The sequence below is a fragment of the Homo sapiens genome, chromosome 9 (assembly GCF_000001405.40).
Source record: "Homo sapiens chromosome 9, GRCh38.p14 Primary Assembly".
Classification (NCBI taxonomy): Eukaryota; Metazoa; Chordata; class Mammalia; order Primates; family Hominidae; genus Homo; species Homo sapiens.
The window spans coordinates 70,275,201-70,298,349 of NC_000009.12; the positions used below are offsets into that span (position 1 = coordinate 70,275,201).

The 23,149-nt window shown below is 35.0% G+C and overlaps 1 protein-coding gene across 12 annotated transcripts in view; it reads left to right on the forward strand.

Annotated features, from left to right (window-relative positions):
- Positions 1-23,149, forward strand: part of SMC5 (structural maintenance of chromosomes 5) — a 95,896-nt gene that overhangs the window by 16,223 nt on the left and 56,524 nt on the right. For 6 of the 12 annotated variants that reach the window (NM_015110.4, XM_005251837.3, XM_005251839.3 and 3 more), the window contains exons 4-9: positions 2,110-2,272; positions 3,291-3,425; positions 5,559-5,699; positions 7,222-7,383; positions 11,000-11,071; positions 22,766-23,021. In NM_015110.4, the coding sequence (NP_055925.2) occupies positions 2,110-2,272; positions 3,291-3,425; positions 5,559-5,699; positions 7,222-7,383; positions 11,000-11,071; positions 22,766-23,021 (929 nt within the window). Of the gene's footprint in view, positions 1-1,468; positions 1,532-2,109; positions 2,273-3,290; positions 3,426-5,558; positions 5,700-7,221; positions 7,384-10,999; positions 11,072-22,765; positions 23,022-23,149 lie in introns of all 12 variants that reach the window. The other 6 variants (XM_005251838.3, XM_047423033.1, XM_047423035.1 and 3 more) reach the window with 3 other exon arrangements.

Sequence of the window (23,149 nt, forward strand, 5' to 3'; positions counted from 1 at the left end):
TATCATTGCTGTATTCCTTTTTTTGTTGTTTTGTTTTTGTTTTTGTTTTGGTGACGGGGTCTCACCCTGTCATGATCATGACTCACTGCATCCTTGACCTCCTTGGTTCAAGTGATCCTCCTGCCTCAGCCTACAGGCACTCACCACCAGGCCCAGCTTTTTAAATTTTTTTTATTTTTTGTAGAGAATGGGGTCTCACTATGTTGCTCAGACAGGTCTCGAACTCCTAGGCTCAAGTGATCCTCCCACCTTTGCCTTCCAAAATACTGAGATTACAGGCGTGAGCCACCACATCTGGCCTGATTGTTGTCTTCTAATGTGAATCTGATCTTAGTTTATTTGATAGTAATCATTCTCTTTTTCTCATTGTTTTCTGATGTGAATCTGATCTTAGTTTATTTGATAGTAATCATTCTCTTTTTCTCATTGTTTTCTGATGTGAATCTGATCTTAGTTTATTTGATAGTAATCATTCTCTTTTTCTGAAGATGCTTATAAACTCATTTCTTTTTTTAAGTATGTTAGTTTCATATATATTTAGGTGTGGATTTATTTTTTATTTACTTTTCTTGGTTTTAATGACACTCTTAAACCTACGGTTTGGTGTCTTTCATCAGTTTTGCAAAGTTCTTTTTTATTATCTCTTTAAATATTGCCATTGACCCATTCTCTGTCTCCTAGAATTCTTATTAGACATATTAGGCTTTCTTAGTCATCCAAATATCTTTAATATTTTTGATTTATCATTCTGCATTATGTTATTTCCGCTAGTGTTCTTGATGCTTTGTCTTCTTGTGTGTGTGTTTGTAGCGAACTACTCTTCTTAGAACTTTATCTGTGTTAATTCTTTTAAGATAACATAGATTCCGGCAGAGGAAATTATTAACTTCTGCCAGAGACCATTGAATACTTTCAATTCAGAATCACAATGTACAGAATTCTCAGCTTGTGGTGGTAGCAGTGAAGTATTTCTAGTTTACCCTTACAGTGAGGGTATATCGCTTAGATATGGCTTTCTATTGGACTGTCCACCTTGAATAGCTGTGGGCTTTGTCTGTTTTTGTCCTTTACCAGCAGATCATCAAAATGAGTCCTCAAGATCACTTGATTGGGCGAATGCCTTCAAGATGAAAGCCAATTTTATTTTTCCACTCTGGGTTTTCACCTATACTATGATGTTAGCCAGAATTCCTTACTTTCATGCTAACTGATAAATTCATTTATGAAGATGTTTTAATATTTTATTATTTTTAGTTGTTTACAGCAGGAGGATCAGTAAGGGTACTTTATTAGTCGTTCTGCTGGAAATGAAAGTTTAAAACTACTTCCTTTAAAGTCATAAAGTCTTACTGTTCCAAGTGGTCTGGTTACAATATAATTTATATATACAACATTCATAAGTTATTATTGTCATTTAGTGATTGGATACCAATAATTTATCTTTCTGCCACATGCTGCTGAATCCCAGTGAAGAAGATGGATGAATAGATGGGAGGTGTGGAGCAGTAGTACTTCTAAAAGCGAGAAATAAGTAAATACCCTTCTTTCAGATTCTGTATTGCTAAATGTTCCTTTATATCCATGTGATGTAATCCTCTCTGAATTTAGAGTGGAGTACATGGTGAGGAATCCATGGGCTACCTGTATGGGTAGTTTTGATTTCTGGAAATGCCACGAGTCAGTTTTCATTCATATGTTTTCTGAGCAGGGGGAGTTTCAAGGTTTAACTGCTCTACCCTTTAATATACTAACACATTTTGAATTGCAGTCAATGCATGTGATTGAAGAATAGCATAGTAATTAAAGGATAAACAACTCCAGCTATGTGACTCCTCTAGTAGTGTTTATGAATTAGTGTTCACATTTGCTTTAATTTTAACAGTTTAAATAATTTTGAATGTTGAGTAAGTAACTGATGTGGTCAATTATGGCATTATGACTAATAAAATGCCAAAGTTTCCTTCTTGAGGGGCCAAAATATCAAAAGGAGTAAAAATCATAATAATAATTCTATCTGGCACCTTTTGTGCAAGAGAATTTTGGGAATTTTATTTCTAAACTAATGTATATATTTTGAATATAAAGATTCTTAAATTATTTTTTAATTAGGTTCAGGGCTTCTGGAAATCTTGTAATCACCCGTGAGATTGATGTGGCAAAAAATCAGTCCTTTTGGTTCATCAACAAAAAATCTACAACCCAGAAAATAGTGGAAGAGAAAGTTGCAGCCTTAAATATTCAAGTGGGGAATCTTTGCCAGTTTCTCCCTCAGGTATGAGAGAAATAAATGTAAAGATGGGAAAATTTTGTATATAGTGTTTCCTTTTTATGCCGTTGAAGGGATATCATAATGACTGCTATTTAAATTGAACATAGCACTCTTACAGTTCTTTGTAAAGGTAGCATTTCATCACTTAGAGTATAATGTTATTAATTTGTAGTAATTTGGAAAATTTCAATTAGTAAAAAAGTCTAAATTAGAGTATTTTGAAATAAAGTATTATTTTTGAAGTTCAGAGAGTGGCTCAGATAGCTATGTGCTTCTATTTGTAGAACCTTAAAATGTTGTTAATGAACAACTTTTTAGTCAGTTTTTGTTCGTATACATTATACATATATTTGAGTCTACAAAATATTTGATATAATAAAACTCCTATATTTATAAGTATACCTTCTAAAATCTTGTTATAGTTTATTAAACATAAAAAATGCTAATAATTTATGTTAAATGTTAAAGTCATATTACCTATTAAATTTGACTTTGAATGCTGTCTAGGGACAGCATTAACTAATATTAATTTCTTTTTTGTTCAGAAACACAATGATGATTTCATAATGAGCAAATTAAATAAAACTTAAACATTTTTAAAAGCTTTTTATTTATTTTAACACTTACCAGCTGATGTCAGATTATCTCCAGAAGTAGATGTTTGAAATTGCCTTTTTTTTTCCTTTTTAAACCCTCTAACATTTCAACTGATATGTAATAGACAGTGATCATTTTCATCTTGGGACTATGTGTTCTTTTATTCCCAAACTTTTATTATACATATGTAGACATTTCAACCTTGAAATATTGGCACAGAAAATTTTTAAAGATGATCAAAAAGGTAACAGTTTATATCCTAAGTTTATCTTCATTATTCTAAAGAATAATGCACAAAAGGTTTATATCTCAAATGTTTTTTTTAATGAGTTTCACCTTGACAAGTGTAAGCATTGAGTGAAATACATTTTGAAGATATATGTAAATGAATGATAGTTGCTGATATTTAATTTTTGTGCTCTAGGACAAAGTTGGAGAATTTGCTAAACTCAGCAAAATTGAACTCCTCGAAGCCACTGAAAAGTCAATTGGTCCCCCAGAAATGCACAAATATCACTGTGAACTCAAAAACTTAAGGGAGAAAGAAAAACAGCTCGAGGTACTTTAAATAGACAACTCATTTGTATTGTTTCTTATTGATTTCTGTATCTCAGAACATGGGAGAGAGAGTAGTAGTATTGATTCATTGAGTGAATTCGTATTTGTGATTTTTTTTCACTTAGGATTGTACTGCTAATATCAGTTAAAGTGACAGAGTGAGAATGGATCTAATAATGTGAAGTTTAAAAAGGTTGACTATTTCAGCAAATACGTATTACTAATTGAATTTTTAAGGAACCAGTAACAGTATTATAAAAAAAAATTATCTCAGGAAGTTATTCTTTCATTCATTCAGTATCTATTAAACACCTACTATGTGCCAGGCACTGTGTAAGGCTTTGAGTAATAGAAGAGATACCATGTGCCATTTAATATAGCACTTCCGTTGAACCAATTCTCTCATGTATTTTTTTCAGTCACATGAGGGTAGACTTTGGAAGAGAATTACACATTTAGTTGGAATGTTGGTTATTTTCACCATTAATAAACATAAAAATGTACTTTTATAGCATATCCTTTGTAAAGGTGTTTTATTTAATGGATCTTTTTTCTACATCCCAGCAACTAAAATAAATACAGTAAATTTTCATAATAAGAAATCTTTTAGTCTGGGTGTGGTGGCTCAGACCTGCAATCCCAATACTTTGTGAGACTGATTCGGGAGAATCGCTTGAGTTCAGGAGTTTGAGACCAGCCTAGGCAACAGGGAGACCCTGTCTCTACATGAAAAGAAATGAGAAAAGTTAGCCAGGCATGGTGGCGCACACCTGTACTTCCCGCACTTGGGATGCTAAGGTGGGAGGATTGCTTGAGCCAAGGAGGTCAAGGTTGCAATGAGCTGTGATTGCACCACTGCATTCCAGCCTGGGTGACAGAGCGAGACCCTGTGTCAAAAAAATGGAAATCTGGCTGGGTGTGGTGGCTCACGCCTGTAATCCCAGCACTTTAGGAGGCCAAGGCGGGTGGATCACCTGAGGTCAGGAGTTTGAGACCAGCCTGGCCAACATGGTGAAACCCTGTCTCTACTAAAAATACAAAAATTAGCCGGGTGTGATGGTGGGCGCCTGTAATCCCAGCTACTTGGGAGGCTGAGACAGGAGAATCGTTTGAACCTGGGAGGCGGAGGTTGTAGTGAGCCGAGAACACGCCATTGCACTCCAGCCTGGGCAACAAGAGCAAAACTCCGTTTCAAAAAAAAAAAAAAAAAAAAAGGAAATCTGTTTTTCATTTTAGGTTCAGGGGTACATGTGCAGGTTTGTTATATAGGCACATTGTGTCACAGGGGTTTGGTGTGTCACCCAGGAAATAAGCATAGAAATCTTGTAACCAATTGCTTTCTCTTAAACTGTGACTTTATATACTTAATAATATGTATTTTACTGTAATTAAATGTTATTTTTTACCTTTGTCCACCAGACAGGGAAAAAAATGTTTTTATTATACTTATTCAAAGTGAATAATCAAAGGAGTTGTTCTGAGCTTTTTATAGTTATTTTAGCTTCAGATATTCTGTTCTTTTACCTTTCTGTATGTCAAACAAATAGTTTCACTTGAAACACTCACCTACACTCTTGACCATCCGCTGAAAGAAAACAAGCATACAAGCATATATTCTACTAGGTTCTGAGTACATCTTTGTATTTATTAATTGACACCATAATGGCTAATTCTTAGCTTTCTTTCATCTCGTTTCTAAGACCTTTCAGTCATGAGTGTTCATTTAACATCCTAATCCTAGTATTACTATTTTTCATTTGTATATCACTTTTACAGCTTTTGTTTAGCTTTCATTTATATTAAGTGAATTGCTTCTACCCTTCAAGTGGATGCAGCAGATATTTGGGCAAGAAGAGCCTGGGCTCAGATGTGACAGGGCTTCTTTACAGTTAGGACTAATAAATTGTAGACCCTAGACCAGAACTTGGGTATGAATGTTGCTTTTACACAGGTTTTAGGTGTTTTGTTGAGACAGGGTCTCACTGTTGCCTAGGCTGGAGTCTACATAGTTCTTAAGAACTCCTGTGAATTCTTTATTGTGAAATTTTGCCATCGTTTATTTTTCATTGTTAAAAGATGTGACCTGTTGTCATTTTTTCTGTCAAACTGATTGTTCAACATATATTTATTGTAGACCTCATGCAAAGAGAAAACTGAGTATCTACAGAAAATGGTTCAGAGGAATGAAAGATATAAACAAGATGTGGAGAGGTTCTATGAACGGAAGCGACATTTAGATTTAATTGAGATGCTTGAAGCAAAAAGGCCATGGGTGGTAAGTCATAATTTTTAGAGGCAAAGTACGTGTTTCTTTAAGTAGCAGAGTAATTATGATGAAAGTATTAGTTACTGTGTATTCAAGTTAGGTGCTTCTTTTTCATTTTTGGCTTTATATGTTATACATAATAAAATTCATGTCTTTTTTTTTTTTGAGACGGAGTCTTGCTGTGTCTCCCATGCTGGAGTTCAGTGGTACGATCTCGGCTCACTGCAACCTCTGCCTCCTGGGTTCAAGCGATTCTCCTGCCTCAGCCTCCCAGTAGTTGGGATTATAGGCATGTGCCACCACACCTGGCCAACTTTTTTTTTGTATTTTTAGTAGAGACAGGGTTTCACCATGTTGGCCAGGCTGGTCTTGAACTCCTGACCTCAGGTGATCTGCCCCCCTCGGCCTCCCAAAATACTGATTACGGGTGTGAGCCACCGCGCCAGGCTTTCTTTTACTAGTTTATTACCTTAGCTGTGTGCTAGTTGTTACTGTTTAATAAATAATAATTAACACAGTGCTCTTAATTCTTCCACATTTTAGTCCTCAACAGATAGTTTTTGATTGTTGTTTTAAAGATGTTAATGATCAGAAAATTAAATCTTTGGGTGTCCTCAGTCAGGTCACTGAGAATTTATTAAGACTACAGTTCGGGTTAAAGATTCAATTCCCTCATTGCATTACTTTATAATTGGTAGAACAAAATAGGTAAGAAAGTTTTGTAGTGTTTGTTCCAAGGTTAGAATGGAAATAATTGTTACTTGCTTCAAAAAGAGTATTTGTGGCATTCTTGTTCTGTCTTCCCCCTTCTACCTACCCTATTCCATCATTTCATGATTCTTAAATTTTCCTTTCTTCGGCTTTTCTAAATTTTATTTTTCCTGTGTCCATTATTACTGCTTCACTCACTTTGTCTTTTGATTTTCCTTATTTTTTCTAAGATTGATTTACCTTTTTTTCATTTTTCTTCTTTTTTGATGTACTTATATGTTTATTTTTTCTTTTCTTACCATCATCCCATTCACTCTTATATAATGTTGCCTTAGTGTGCCACTTAATTTTTTTTTAGCAAATACTCCTATGACATGACAGGCATCACTTTCACCTACATGCTGGTTTTTATTTTTCTTTTGACCCATTTTCATTTTGTTTTTTTTTTTTATTTTTACCCTTTATACTTGAGTTTCTTTTGCTTCTTTATACATCCCTGTATCTCTTCTTTATTGACAGATTAGAGGTAAGTCACATTTTCGTAGCCATTAAGATATGTTTCAGATAACAGGATGGAAGTCTGAGAATCTGAACTGGTGATAGAAATAAACGCTCAGTGATTATCAGGACTGTTATTAAATCATTACACTGGTATTTACTATTTCTGAAGTTGTCCCAGAGGACAAATTTACATTAATAAACCTGTTTTGATATCAAAACAATCTTTTCTTACATTTGGTTTCTGCCTGTATCTTGATTTTTAGTATATGTGTTAGTTTAAGGTAGGGCATTAACTTCTGTTTGTTGAATTATTTGCAAGGAATATGAAAATGTTCGTCAGGAATATGAAGAAGTAAAACTAGTTCGTGACCGAGTGAAGGAAGAGGTCAGAAAACTTAAAGAAGGGCAGATTCCTGTAACATGTCGAATTGAAGAAATGGAAAACGAGCGTCACAATTTGGAGGCTCGAATCAAAGAAAAGGTACTTTTTGGTTTCAATTTTGGATTATCTGAATTTTATTTTAGCAAATATAAAAAATATTTTGCAGGTGTTTGAAAATATTTTCAAGGGTTTTCTTGTATCTTTCATTTCTTAAGTTTTTTAACCAGGAATTCTGCCACCATAGGATTTTCAAGGACATACTTATTACTGTGGAAGTGTTGCTACTTTATAGGACTTCCAAGATATAAAGAGAGAAAAGTGAAATATGATTTTTTTTAGGTACAAGAGGATTCATAGTGGTATTCCTGGAAACACTGAGCTCTTTTTGTGAATATATTATACATCTGCTTTGTAATTATACACCCTTTTGAAGGAGGGCAATATAGAAAATCTGATGTTTTTGGAATAGATAATAGAATAATATTCCCTGTATTTTAAAAGTATAACTAGATATTTTTTATGACTATGGCTTCTAACCTTCGGTGGATTTTGAAGTTAGAGATTATTTGAGAATTGTTTAAATTCCTGCTTCTAAAATAACGCAGTATAGGCAGATCCAAAATCGTGCATGAGATTTTGGAGATTCATGGATGCACTGAAGTCAAGGTATTGACCCCTACTTAAGAACCTCTGATATGGCTGGGCACAGTGGCTCATGCCTGTAATCCCAGCACTTTGGGAGGCTGAGGCGGGCGGATCAGTTGAGCTCAGGAGTTCAAGACCAGCTTGGCCAACATGGTGAAACCCTGTCTCTATGAAAAACACAAAAAACTTAGCCAGGCATGGTGGTGTGTGCCTATAGGTCCCTGCTACTCATGAGGCTGAGGCAGGAGGATCACTTGCGCCTACGAGGCAGAGGTTGCAGTGAGCTGAGATTGTGCCACTGCTCTCCAGCATGGGTGACAGAGCGAGGCCCTATCTCAAAAAATGTATATAATAATAAAAATTTAAAAATAAATCAATAAAGAATCTCTGATATAAATTGTCAGTTGCCTCAAATATGTAGAATTATTTGTAATTAGACCAGCGGAATTTATGCTATATATAGGTAATTTTATGAAACCAGAAAACCATTCACAACCTTTGTGTACTGTATACCCCTGATGTTGGCCACTGTGCTTGAAGATGGGTGTCAGTGATGGTAAAGGGTGGATCTTAGCCTGGCACTGCTATTGGGAAAAAATTGTATGAAACATGATTTCTGCTATTGAAAGATCATTTAGGAGATAGTGTGTTATGAACTTAGCAGTATTTTTTTTTACAGGCATCATCTCTATTTTTAAAGGTTTTAAAGATTGTGTTTTATTCTTGTGAATATGCTACTCCAGGGTTTTTGTTACTGAATTTAAGATTGCCATTTATACAGGTTTGACTAATGTAAGTTTCATCTTTTGTTTGTAAAAAAAGAAGTTATGTGGAGCTCTTCGATTTCTAGATGTGATTGTACTTTTCTCTTTTTAGGCACCTGAAAGTCAGAAAAATGACTTCTTGAGCTAGATTGTACCAGATACTATGTTGAGCATTTCTACTGAGTGAGAAAGGCCATATCTAGGAATATAAAGTAAACTTTGTAACAGAGGAAATGAATCAACAGTTTTGACTTTGCTACTATCATGTGGGAAAAGCTCCACTATATCTTAATTCTAATACAGGTTAAAGTGAGTTAAAATTATTGCACTCAAGTCCAAAAAATTAAACAGTTACTAAGATCAGATAAAGGTTTTAGGACTTGATTAGATCTGATTCTGAAAAAGCGTTGCCATTGGTCATTTTAAATGTTACGGGGAAAAGGAATTGTAGATATTATCTAGACAAGCCCCCTCATTTTATTGTTACAGATACTGAATACCAGTGATAACACGACTTCCTCAAGGATATGAAACTAATAATTGGCAGTCGTTGTTATGTTAATGATGGTTGGTTATAGTTAAGTTGTGGATTTGTAATTGCTTTTTTTGGTTCTTGAATTTTCTGTTACTGTAAAACTACTTTTGTAGTGGAAAATATGTACATAATAAATTTGAGATCTCTTAATTAAGGAAACATATTTAACCCTTTGTTTTGTCTATTTATAACAGAAGCCCAGCTATTGTTATATTAGGCTCATTGTCAAACATCCATGAGCCTAATTTATTTATGTGAAAATCTGCATGGCCTAAGATGTTTTAGAATTATTTTCCTAAAGAAATAATTCTGAAGTGGTACCTTATGTCAGTCTATAGTAAAAGTAGTTATTAGCACCCATAGCCTTGCAACAGAACACAGTGGTTAATTTTGTTTAATATTCATGCTGTTCTTCTTCCTGCTCATTCTGTTCCAGCAGAAAACTTTTTCCAATACTTGTAATTTTTTTTTTTTAATTCCAGGCAGGTGATGAAGTGTTATGGACAGGGCATAGCTTTTGAGACACACAGACCTGTATTTTAAATCCTCACTCAGCTGTCTGACCTTCAGCAAATCGTTTAGTCTCTCTGAGTTTTAGTCTCCTCAGTCAGGTGAGGACAATAATAGTAATCTTTATCTTACATGATTAGCATGTATGATTTAAGCATACATACATCAGTGTTACTAGCATCAGAAAATTAATTTTCCTCTATCAGAAGAAACTATTGTCTCTTGGCATCAGAGATCCACCGGAGACATGATTTCCTAGGAGGGCTCACAGCTAAGATTTATTACAGCAAAAGGATGCAAAACAGTCAGGAAAGGGAAAATGCCCTGAGGACAAAGTCTAGAAGAAACCAGGCACAAGCTTCCAAGGGTCCTCCCCCAGAGAAATCACACAGAATGTGCTTAATTCTTCCATCATCAAATTATGACAACATTTTAAAAGTCCTGTCTACAAGGGAAGTGCATTACAGACTCAGCACCCAAGGTTTTTATGGGCGTTAGGCAACTAGGCCTTCTAGCAGCATGTTGTTAACTTCCAGAATGCAAGAAGGAAAGCAGATGTTCTGCATCAGCCACATTGTTTGTACAAACACGCACAGTGAGCCACTCTTATCAGTTAGGAAATGGTAGAAACACTCCCAAAATCCAAATTTCCAGACAACAACCAAGGACCGACCTTGCAAACAAGCCTGTCCAAGAATAGTAGTCTTAGTCTATAATGTTGTTTTCTGTATAGCCCTGTTTTCTACTATGTTTGAATTACATATTATAGGTGTTAATGATGTGTAATATGTGTCTATAATATGTCATGTATGTGTTTTATGTGTTAATGAAAAATATCAAGGAGGTAGCATACTTGGTATGATAGAACTCTGCATTTGAAATCAGACCTGATTTTTTATAATTAGTTTCCATTTTTTAGCTATGTATAAAGGTTACTTGGCCTCTTTTGAGCCCTACCAGTCAGTAATATTTGTCCTGATTATCCTGTAGGGTTGTTTTTAGGATCAGATGAAATAAGACAGGAAGATAAATGTAAAGAGAAAAAACATGCATGCGTATTACTGCAACTGTTTATTAATATCATTAGGAATAACCTTTTATAGACTTGCAAATAACTGTTGGTATTTTGTTGATAATTATGGATTTTGCTTGATGTAAATTGTTGTGGGTTAACTCGATATTTGAATGGGCAGGGCCATATAATTTGCTTGCATGAGTTTTTAACTAGCTGTCCCCCCCTCTCCCCGGTTTAATTTTACAGGCAACAGATATTAAGGAGGCATCTCAAAAATGCAAACAGAAGCAAGATGTTATAGAAAGGAAAGATAAACATGTAAGGTTTCATACTAAAATTTTTATTACATTAAAGTTTGCTCTAACTTTTGTTTTCAAATACAGATTATGAGACAGATTCTTGTTGGGGAATGGCCAAGATCCTCTGCATTCTCTATTTCTTAATCCGAGGGAAAGTAAGATTTGGAAGTATAGTAGTTGCTCAGAGGACAATTGTGGAAAATTTCTCAAAACTACTAGCAGCTGTGCCTTATGATATTTGTAGCTGGGTGGCTGTAGTTTTTTAATAGGATAATGGTGGATTTGGTTACCTTAACAGCAAAAACTAAGGTCTAAGGGATTTATTCTGTTGTTGTTTAAAACACAGAAATAGACCTTTTATTTTGAAAAATCAGTGATGACGCTTATGTAGAAAATGCGTATGTACCTTTATGCATGATTGAAATTAATGAGACAAAGTATACTTAAACTATGGAACTTTTCGTCTTTTTTTTTTTTTTTTTTTTTGAGACAGGGTCTCTGTTACCCAGGTTGGAGTACAGTGGTGTGATCTTGGCTCACTGCAGCCTCCGCCTCTCAGGCTCAAATAATCCTCCCACCTCAGCCTCCTGAGTAGCTGGGACCACAGGTGCATGCGACCACACCCAGGTACTTTTTTGAATTTTTGTAGAGATGGGTTTTTGCCGTGATGCCCAGGTTGGCCTCGAACGCCTGAGCTCAAGCTATCCACCTGCCTTGGCTTCCCAAAGTGCTGGGATTGCAGGCATGAGCCACTGCCCCTGACTGGAACTTTTTATTATATTTTTATTGTTGAGTTTTACTCTGTTTTGATATAATCTTGGTTTATAGCTCCAATTTCTAGAAATGAAGACACTTACATTGTAAAACTTTAGCCTACTGCAGGTAATTTATTGCTAAGGAAAAATCTTGTTTCAATTTGTAGTATCCTGTTTTTGATATGTGCAGCTTCTCAATCTGAGAATATAAATTAAAAGTTTTTAAAGTTTTTTTTCCTTTATAATATTGTTTTTTCTTAGTAGATTTTTGTTTCTTTTCTTACTTTGGTTTCTTGCTTTCTTCCTGGAGTCTTTCCTTGCTTATCTGAGAATCTTTGGTTCTCTTTATGGTTAAAAGTAAGGCATTAAAAGGCTGATTACAAATTTTTCGTGCGTGGGTGGGCCTGACGACAAAATTATGTTAGGATGATTAGGTAAGAAAGTGGGCTCTTTTGCTAACAGATGCCCAAATATATGTGTGTTTCTATTCTTCAGGACCATTCTGAGACTAAGTTTTGAAATTACCTGCCTTGGGGGTAGACATGTAACTTCAGGCATTTCTGATGGTTGAAGCATGGTGTTAATCTCCTAGTTCTCAGCCTCACCCCTTTTTCTATCCCTTTATTTTAAGTCCCAGGCTGCTCATTTAATTTCTCCAAAGAATTAACCACAAATGTTCACAGAAGCATCTTGGTTGTCAGTGTTATGTGCTTAGGGTTGTGTATGTTGGGAGAAGGGGATTGGGATGAGAAGGAGGATATGAATAATTGCATTCTATGTGATGTTGTTTCTACTTGGCATTTCCTAGTCCTAAGAATTTCTGGGGTTTTTGTTTGTTTTTATTTTTTAGAAGGAATAATCAGTTCTTCACATCCCTTTCTTTTTCACTCACCCTTTACACTATGGTTCCTATAATATACTGCTAAATTTGTTACTTGTTTTTCCATCTTCTAAGTATTTATTAAACTTTCCATTTAGTGATCTCTCTTCCCTTTCTTTTGTCCTCATGGGATGGATCCCTTTTTACTCCATTCCTATTATTTTATTAGGGTTAGGCAGAAAAAGACATAAAACTCATCCTGTATCCCCAGACGCAAATACAAAGTTGGTAGATTGCCTCATGTTGAACTTCCCTTATATTCCTGTCATGAATTTTAATTGATGTTTTAATATACTGCTGTATTCAACTATAAAATTTTGTATTTAGGATTTTTTGAACTGTGTGAGATTGGCCTATACTTTTATTTTTTGTTCTTTCTTAACTGGTTTTGTTTTCAGGCTTATGCAGACCTGGTAAATAATTTAATACTCTTGGATCAGTTTCAATCATTTATATTTCTTCTCTTCCTATCACTGATATTTGTGTATCCATTTTTTCCCCCTTATCATATTTGCCAGGGCTTGTCACTTTGTAAGTCTTTTCAACTAATTTTTTTTAAAAATCAACTTTATTTTTTGTTGACTATTTAATAATTTCCTCTTTCTTAATTCATTTTTCTGCTTTGAGTATTTTTTAACGTTCTTGAATTGTAAAAAGTGTGTTTCTTTTATTTTTCATCTTTCCTAATTTTTAATAAATGCATTATAGGATATAAATTTTTGGGCATCATTTGGCTACATCTCACGTGTGTTGATTAGTAGGCTCTTTGTTTCAATTTAAGATATTATAATTTTTATTTAAATGTTTTCGTTTGAGGTTACCTAGCAGTTCTTATTGTTTTAATTTCTATGGATATGGAATTTTTTAGGCTTTTGAAAAATGTCAAGTTCTACTTAACACTGCTTTATGGTCAATAAATGTGGCCTTTTGACTTTTTTAAAGAATTTTTTGAGACTTTTTTTTGGCTTTTATTGTGTGTTTGATTTTTGTACCTATTCTTCATGTATTTGAAAAGAATGTGCATTCTGTCTTCAGGTGTGGACATATGTATACACACACATATATACATACGTTAGAATAGGCTTACTATAATTATGTATACTCGTATGTTCTACTTTTTTGTTAACCTACTTGATTTAGTTTTTGTTGTTGTTGTTGTTGTTGTTATGAGACGGAGTCTTGCTCTGTCTCCGAGGCTGGAGTGCAGTGGAGCAGTCTTGGCTCACTGCAGCTTCTGCCTCCCCGGTTCAAGCGATTCTCCTGCCTGAGTCTCCCAAGTAGCTGGGACTACAGGCATGCACCACCACGCCTGGCTAATTTTTGTATTTTTAATAGAGACAGAGTTTCACCACGTTGGCCAGGCTGGTCTCAAAGACCTGACCTCAAGTGATCCACCTGCCTTGGCCTCCCAAAGTGCTAGAATTACAAGTGTGAGCTACCGCACCTGGCCTGATTTAGTGATTTTTAAGGTGTCAGTATCTCCTTCTATGAGTATAGGTTTGTCTATTTTTCCTTGTAATTATATCAGTTTTTGCTTCCTAGATTTTAAAGCTTTCTTATTTTGTTTTTATTTCTGTACCATGTTTTAGTTTATGTGCTGTAAATAATACTGGGTTTTGTTTTGAAATTTTTTTCAATTTGATGGCAAATAAAGGAGTTTAAACAGATGAAGAAGTTTAAACAGTTCACATTTACTGTTATGTTTTCTACTTATTATACTTTTTACTTGATTCCTCCTCTCTTTCTATTTTCTGTTGCTGTTAACCAAGGTTTTCTCATTCTATTTTTTATTCTATAGGTTGAAAGTTAAATTTAGTCCTATTCTAGTGATTACCTTAAAATTTTAAGTGACACATTTCTAACAAAAGAGTTCATCAGTATCTTTATTCTCCCATCTAATTAAGAAAAAAAAATTAGGAAGCTTATACTTTCTCTTCCTGTAATCCCATGTCAGTATCATCAGAAATTTGACTTGTGGTTATTTAAAATATTATTATTATTATTATTATTATTTTACTGCCAGTATTGACATGTTGGGTATCTCTAATATGAAATCTAAAAATGCTCCAAAACCCAAAACCGTTTTGAGTGTGTTGACCTGATGCTCAAAGGAAATGCACTTTAGAGCATTTTGGATTTCTGGATTAGGGAAGCTGAACCTGTAAGTATAATGCAGATATTCAAAGGTCTTAAAAAATTTGAAATCCAAAACACTTCTGGTGCCAAGCATTTTGGATAAAGGATAATCAGCCTGTGTTTAGATATAATGATATGTTTTGTTGGTTTATTTGATCGTGTTGCTTTTGTATTATACTTCCTCTGGCTTGCTAGGAAAGGAGAAATAAAGAGTTCTCTTTTGACTAAAGTTTCATCCTTTTACTTTAAGCCTATTTGTGTCTTTGAATCTAAAATGTGCCTCTTGTAAACAGTAGATAGTTGGACCATGATTTTTTTGGTCCTCATTAGCATAAAACCAGATATTGCAGAAAGGGGCTTGTTATGAATAATAAAAGACATTCCTGTCACTCAGAAAATTCCAAGGGTTTTAAGAATTCTGTGCCAAGAACCTAGGACAAAGACTAAATATATATGTTTATACCGCAATAGTTCTTTTATATTGGATAGGAAGAAAAAAAGTTATAAACAACAAAATACATTTATGTTATATTTTACATTTATCTATTTAATTACCTTTGCGGGTTCTCTTGATTTATTTGTGTAGATTCAGAGTACTATCTAGGGTCCTTTCATTTCAGCCTTAAAGATGCCTTTTAGTATATCTTGTAGGGGAGGTTTCTTTTAGTTCATTGAACATATTTAAAATCGCTGTTTTAATCCTTTTCCTATTTAGAAAAAAAGTACGTGTGCTCACTGCCAGCACTCATTTAATTTTACATAAACACACTCTGAGGCTTAACCAAATCTGACTGAGTTTCAATGTGAAAGTAAGCACCGCCAGCAAGTATTCTCAGGGCAAACAGAAAAAGGGTTAAAGCCCCTTTGTCTTATAAGTCCATTTCTGTACTTCCTCAGGTACTTTTTCTGTTGACTGCTTTTTTCCTGAGTATGGGCCATACTTTTTCCTTTATTTGAAAGTGTTACAAGTTTTTGTTGAAACTGAACAGTTTAAGTAACATACTCTAGCAACTCTGGAAGTCAGTCCCATTCCCCTCCCCAGGGCTTGATGTTGTTGCTGTTTCATTGAATATATTGTTGGTGTTTGTTTGTTTAGTGACTTTCCTAGTTCTGTAAAGTTCTTATTCTTGGTCATATGTGGCTATTGAAGTCACTACTAGGTTAGTTTAGTGGTTAGCTAATGACTGAATCTGTATTTCCTAAAATGCCTGTAACCCATATGTTTCCCAGTCTTTGTTGAGGATCTCTGTGTATATATTGGGTCATGCCTTCATCATTCAGCCAGGCAGTATTCACACTTTACTGAGATTCAATCATTTTTCTTCAATAAATGCTCCTAAGATTGTTGAAAACTTTGGTTAACTCTGTCTCAGCCTTCGCTTCCTATTTGCACACAACCACAAAGTGAAACAGATGAGAACTTAGGGTCTTCTCAGGTCTTTCTGGATCATGTACATAGCCCTGGGCATGCACACAGTCCTGCTAATGCACATGACCTTCTAGAATCCCAGGAATTTCCAAAACCTCATATGGTTTGGGGAGAAGCTCATTCCCCAGCCTTTTCTTTTAAGATTTTTGGTTAGCTTATTGTTTGCTGTAACTGTTATCTGCTTCAGGCAGTTGTGATGCTAAACAATTGCTTCTGATTGTTTTTGACAAATGCATCCAAGGAAAAGGCTGTTTTGCAGTGGTGAGCTGTGAGTCAGGTCAAATACAAACAAGCCTTATACAACTAAGTTTTCCCAGGAAACTGCCGGGTAGATCAGATAATGGCATTTCTCTGAGAATGAGGATTTATTAGGTTGGTGCAAAAGTAATTGCATTTTTTTTTTTTGCCATTATAAAAGAGCTCCAAACCTGTTCATATCTCTCCAGTGGCTGCTAGACTGCAGGTTTTCACTATGATTGTGGGCTGTTGCTTTTCAAGGATACCACATGAATGGAACAATGGGTTTAGGAATGAAGCAAGTTCAAAATTCTACAGAGCTTGCTGTTTTTACTGAGATTCAGCCATTTTTCTTGAATAACAGCTTCCCAGATTGTTACAAGCATTTGGTTAAATTCCAGAGTGCTGAAAGTGTAAATTTTGACAATTTTTGTCAGTGTTCTCATCACTTTTATGGAGGAGAAGATTTCTGGAGTTCCTTACTTCACCATTCCTGATGACATCCAAATCTTTTCTATATCTACAGAAAAATGTTGCTGGGATTTTAATAGGAATTTCATTAAACATTTGGGAAGAATTGAAATCTTTACTATGTTGAATCTTCTGGTCTATGAACATGGTCTGTCTCTATTTATTTAGATTTTTTATTTCTTTCATTAGCATTATGTAGTTTTAGCAACAAGTCCTCTGACTTAATTTCTTTTTTTTCTTCTTTGGTAGATATTTTGGGAGTTTCTACCTAGGCAGTCATGTCAGCTACAAATGGGGACAGCTTTATTTCTTTCTTTCTGATTTGTATGCACTTAGTTTTCTTACGTTATTGCATTGGCTACAACTTCAGCACTCTGTTGAATAAGAGTGGTGAACACTGAAATCTTCACCTTATTCTTGATCTTAGGAGGAAAGCATTCAGTTTTTCATTATTCAGTATGTAATAATAGCAGGTTTTTAAAAGAATATGTATGCTCTGTCAGATTCAGGAAATTCTTATATGTATTCCTATGTTTCTAGGAATTTTTATGTTGAGTACATACTCAATTTTGTCAAATGCTTTTCTGCATCTATTGATATAATTGTGTAAGTTTTTAGGTGGTTAGTAAGTGATGGATTATATTGATTGATTTTTGACTACCAAATCAATTTTGCATCCGTCAAATAAACCCCACTTGGTTGTGGTGTATAAGTGTATAATTCTTTTTACATATTGCTGAATTCTGTGTTAAAGGATTTTTGCGTCTGTATTCATGAGTTATACTGTTTTGTAGTCTTCTTGTATTCTCTGCCTAGTTTTGGTATTAGGATAATAACTAGCTTCATAAAATGAATTGGGAAGTGATCCTTCCTCTTCTACTTTCTGAAAGAGATTGTGTAGAATTGATGTTTATATACTTTAAACATTTTGTGTAATTCTCAAGTGAAACTCTCTGGTTGTAGAGATTTCTTCTTGGAGGGAGTTTTAAAATTATGTTTTCAACTTCCTTAATAGCTATTAGACTAGTCAAATAATCTATTTCATATTAGGTGAATTGGTCCTTTTGTCCAAGTTGTCAAATTTATGTATGCATAAATTCTCTTATCCTTTGATATGTATAGAATCTGCAGTGATAACCCTATTTCATTCCTGATACTGGCAATTCCCCCTCTCCCCCACCCCCCTACTCTTTTTTTAGTTAATCTTGCCAAAGATTTTCTAATTTTATTGATTTTTTTCAAGGAGGCAGCTGTTTGTTTTATTGATTTTTCTCTCTGTTTTCCGTTTCATTGATGTCTGTTCTTATCTTTATGATTCTCCTGCCTGATGTAGATGGGCTCATTTTTTATAGGTTCTTGAGGTGGAAGCATAGATTATTGATTTGATGCTTTTCCTCTTATGTATACACTTGGTGTTATACATTTTCCTGTTATCACTGCATTAGCTGTGCCCCACAAATTTTGATATGTGCTATTTTTGTTTTCATTCAGTTTATTGTATTTTTCTTTTCATTTTTCTTGAGATCACACAATTTGTTTATTCACTAACCTGGTATTAGACATTTAGACTATTTCTAGTTTTGGGCTACTGCCAGTAGATCTGCCATAGATATTCTTCTACCGCTTTTTGTATGGAAGTATGCTTTTATTTCTCTTGGATAATTTCCTAGGAGTAGAATATCATTGGTGTGCGTTCAGTTTTTTAAGGAATTGCCAAAATGTTCCAGAATTTTGGTAAATTAATTGTAATTAATAAAAGTTGACTTGTGATGGCTTGGAATTTTTGTTTTTAATGGTCCTTCGTGAAAAATTACACCTTCTTAAGGTGTAATTTGAGAAACATTTCTCTGGAGTAGCCTTGGAGGGGTTAGATTTAGGTAGCTACATGGAGTCTCCTTACATTCTACAAAGCAAAGCAGAATGAGTAAGGATGTAGGTAAAGTGATAGATTTAAAAGCAAGAGAAGGAGGGAGTACTCTAATTATAACTTCTATTAATGGAATGAATATGAGGCAAGGTCATTAGCTGAGTGAGTGGAAGGAAGGCAGCAATAAAGGATTGAATGAGCAAAAGGTATGAACTCATCTCAGAAAGATAGCACAAGTTTATTAAAGAAGTGTAATAGGTTTATCTGGTAGTTTTGAGTGCCTGTTTAAGTTTTGTGGCCATAGATTTAAAGTGAGACCAGTTTTTGAGGGTTTCTTTCATTAGTTCTGTTGCTTAGATATAGATAGTTAGAAGGTATATCAATAGGTTTAATTAGAACTGGGCTTTTTCCTGGCCAGTGTGACATAAGAAGAAAGGTCAAGGGATCTTTCCAAGGGAGTGGTTATAGCGCTGCATTGTGGAGCCTCAGCTGATTAAGGAAAGAAATGTAAAAAGGTAGTGGGGTTAATGGATTGCACAACCTTGTGGGGGTCAAAAGATAGAGTAGGAATACCAGAGTAAGTAAAATGGAAGAAAAGGAAATAGTGACCAAAGAATAGAATTATGGAAATACATTTTTCAGAAGTGGTATGATTTGGGGGGCTTTATGATCTAGAACATAACCCTCCTCAGCTACCTTCCTCTGTTCACTAGACAGGTGGCTGAGGAAAGGTTAAGGAAAAGATGATTGAAGTTGAAGAAGTAAGGGAACACAGAGGCCAAAGAGTTAGATTGATTTTCTGTAGATATGTTTAAGTCACATGATGACAGATATAATGATGGAGAGAGGAAGACAGTGAATCAGATGCCACAGTCATCCCTGAATGGATAAGGTTGGGGAGGATTTTCAGGGAGGTAGTTAACATAGCAACAAGGGTAATGAGTGACAAAGTCTGACCCCAAGATCTTCAGAGGAACCAAAGTGGGGCTCAATTAAAGGAGGAAGGAGTACAGTGGGGATTAATGAGAATACCCTCCCCACCTCCATGTCCTGAAATAATGGCAGGAAAAGGTCACCACTTGAGAGGGCTCTGGGGAGAACAGGTGTCTTCCAGAAATAGCCAAGTTTCCATTAGAACAAGAAGAGGGAACATTCAGGCGGGGCGCGGTGGCTCACACCTGTAATCCCAGCACTTCGGGAGGCCAAGGCGGGCGGATCACGAGGTCAGGAGATCGAGACCATCCTGGCCAACACAGTGAAACCCTGTCTCTACTAAAAAAAAAAATACAAAAAATTAGCCGGGCGTGGTGGCGGGTGCCTGTAGTCCCAGCTACTCGGGAGGCTGAGGCAGGAGAATGGCTTGAACCCAGGAGGCGGAGCTTGCAGTGAGCTGAGATTGCACCACTGCACTCCAGCCTGGGTGACAGAGCGAGACCCTGTCTCAAAAAAAAAAAAAAAAAGAAGAAGAGGGAACATTCAGAGAAATTACAGATATAGAGCAGTATGGAGACAGTATCCTAGTGAAGGTAGGTGATTTAAGAGGTTTAGACTTACTGTACCTGAGCTAAACATGGATATTAGTCAGAGTAGGACTAATGTGATTAGTCATGGTAGTTTCTTGGATGAAGGTAACAAATGAGTTAGTGTTCAGAAAACTTAATTGAAAGGTAAGGGATCGTTGGGCTGCTTTTCAGTTTTTCAGGTCAATATCAGACAAAGACCTTCTCTTGGTACAACTTTATATGGTAGGCCAGTGATTTTCAGTAGTTTGGTGGTCCCTGTTTTGCTGGGATTGCAGACGTTCTGTTTGTTAGTGAATCTTAATTCTGTATCGTCTTTAGTGTTTAGTGATTCTTAATTATATATTGTCATCTGTGACATGCTCATTTATTTTCCTGAATCCCTTGAATTTCCTATTATCTGCTTTTAGGCCCATTGAACATTGTTAATGTTCAGTGACATGTATGTATCTTAATTTTTTCAGATATATTTTCTCTTGCTTCTGTATGTTTGGTTATAGGAGAGAGGATTTGGGGATATGTGCATTTTGTTACTGCCAAAGCTAAATTTTTAGAAAGGAAAAATCAATACCCGCATTTCAACAGGAGATGGGATAAAATGTGGTATATCCATATCAGAGAACATTATGCACAAGATGTTAAAATTTATTTATTTATTTTGCAAGGACATGAGGGATAATGAGAAACTGCTCTCAATGCATTTTTAGTGATGCCATTTAGTAAAAAGAATATATATTCTACAGGCAGATATAAGTAGGCATTAAAACGTAAAAGTTTACCGAGGCAGGCAGATCACTTGAGGCCAGGAATTTGAGACCAGCCTGGCCAACATGGTGAAAACCCAGTTCTACTAAATATACAAAAATTAACCGGGCATGGTGGCACACGCCTGTGGTCCCAGCTACTTGGGAGGCTGAGACACAAGAATCACTTGAACCCAGGTTGCAGTGAACCGAGATCGCACCACTGCACTCCAGCCTGGGCAACAGAGTGAGACTCTGTCTCAAAAAAAAAAAAAAGGTAAAAGTTTAAGGACATTAAGATTATAAGTTATTTTTATTTGTTATAAGTCTCTATTTTCAGTAATGAATGCATTATAACTTTTATAATGAGGAAGGAGAGGAGTAAATCTGACTTGGAAATAAAGCTGGCTAAAACAGATTATGTGATGTGTTAAATTTATCTATTTTAATGCAAAATTCTAGTTGTAAAATGTAAATTGGGCATATAAGTGTATATTTGTTTATATGTGTGTGTCCTAAAGAAAATCTTTACTCTGTCTTAGGTAGACCATAGTTTTGATAAAAATTTCACTGACATCAAGTGGCAAGTTACATAGCTGGTTATAAAAATGTAATTTACCCTGAATATAAGTGAAGGAATCTAAGCATATAGACTGATGATTAAAATCTCACAATATTAGTCTGAAGTATTGGTAGAAAATATTTCCATTGGAAGAAAATAGTTTATTTCTGTTTCAGATTACAGGTTGAGTATCTCTATCCAAAATACTTGGGACCAGAAGTGTTTGGATTTCAGAGTTTTTCAGATTTTTGGAATGTTTGCATATACATAATGAGGTATCTTGAGAATACAACCCAAGTCCAAACACAAAATTCATTTATATTTCACATACACCTTATACACATAGCCTGAATGTAATTTTAAATGATGTTTTTAATAATTTTGTGTATGAACCAAAGTTTGTGTATGTTGAACCATCAGGAAATAAAGGTGTCGCTGTCTCAGCCACCCATGTGGATGATCTGTGGTTGATGGCATCACCATCATTCCTGACTCTCTATTTATATGCTACTCATAAACAATCATTTTTAAATACTTACTCACACATAAATACTTAACAGTAAAAACTGACATACAACTAATATAGTGCAAAAATAATGTGTTCTGGGTAATTTGTGGTGTCATGTCAGCACTAAAAAAATTTCAGATTTTGGAGAATTTTGGATTTGGGATTTTTGGATTAGGGATATTCAACCTGTAATAGGGTGACTTGTAATCTTTATTATCATTTTTATTATTTATGGAAACTGTATCACATATGCCACATGACTGTTTTAATTTTGGTCTTACGGCATATAGTATGTACTTCCTGTAAATATTTAGAAATCCGTTGGGCTTTTAAAATATTTTGTTTATTCAGGAAATATTTAATGAGTGTTAATTATATAGTGAGCACCACTTAAAGTATTTGAGATATATTAGTGAATGTGTGAAACAAAGATACAGGTAGTCTGGTAGAACTGGTAATGTGCTAGTCTAATTCTCACAGGACACCTTTTAGTGAGGAAAACACCTATGTTAGATTGTTTGCATGTTAAAAACTATATTACTACAGAAGTCTTATAAACCAAGAGGAAAACAGTCTCAAGTACTAACCTACTTTTGTTTTATTAGATTGAGGAACTTCAGCAGGCTTTAATAGTAAAGCAAAATGAAGAGCTTGACCGACAGAGGAGAATAGGTAATACCCGCAAAATGATAGAGGATTTGCAAAATGAACTAAAGACCACGGAAAACTGCGAGAATCTTCAGCCCCAGATTGATGCCATTACAAATGATCTGAGACGGATTCAGGATGAAAAGGCATTATGTGAAGGCGAAATAATTGATAAGCGAAGAGAGAGGGAAACTCTAGAGAAGGAGAAAAAGAGTAAGTTTCATAAAGTTAGAATGAAATGTTTATAAAATGTAGATACATCTCTGTTGATGAACTTTCTTCTGCTTCTATAATTATTTCTATAAAATGTTCAAGTTGCCTTCTTGAGGAAGCTCAACTCA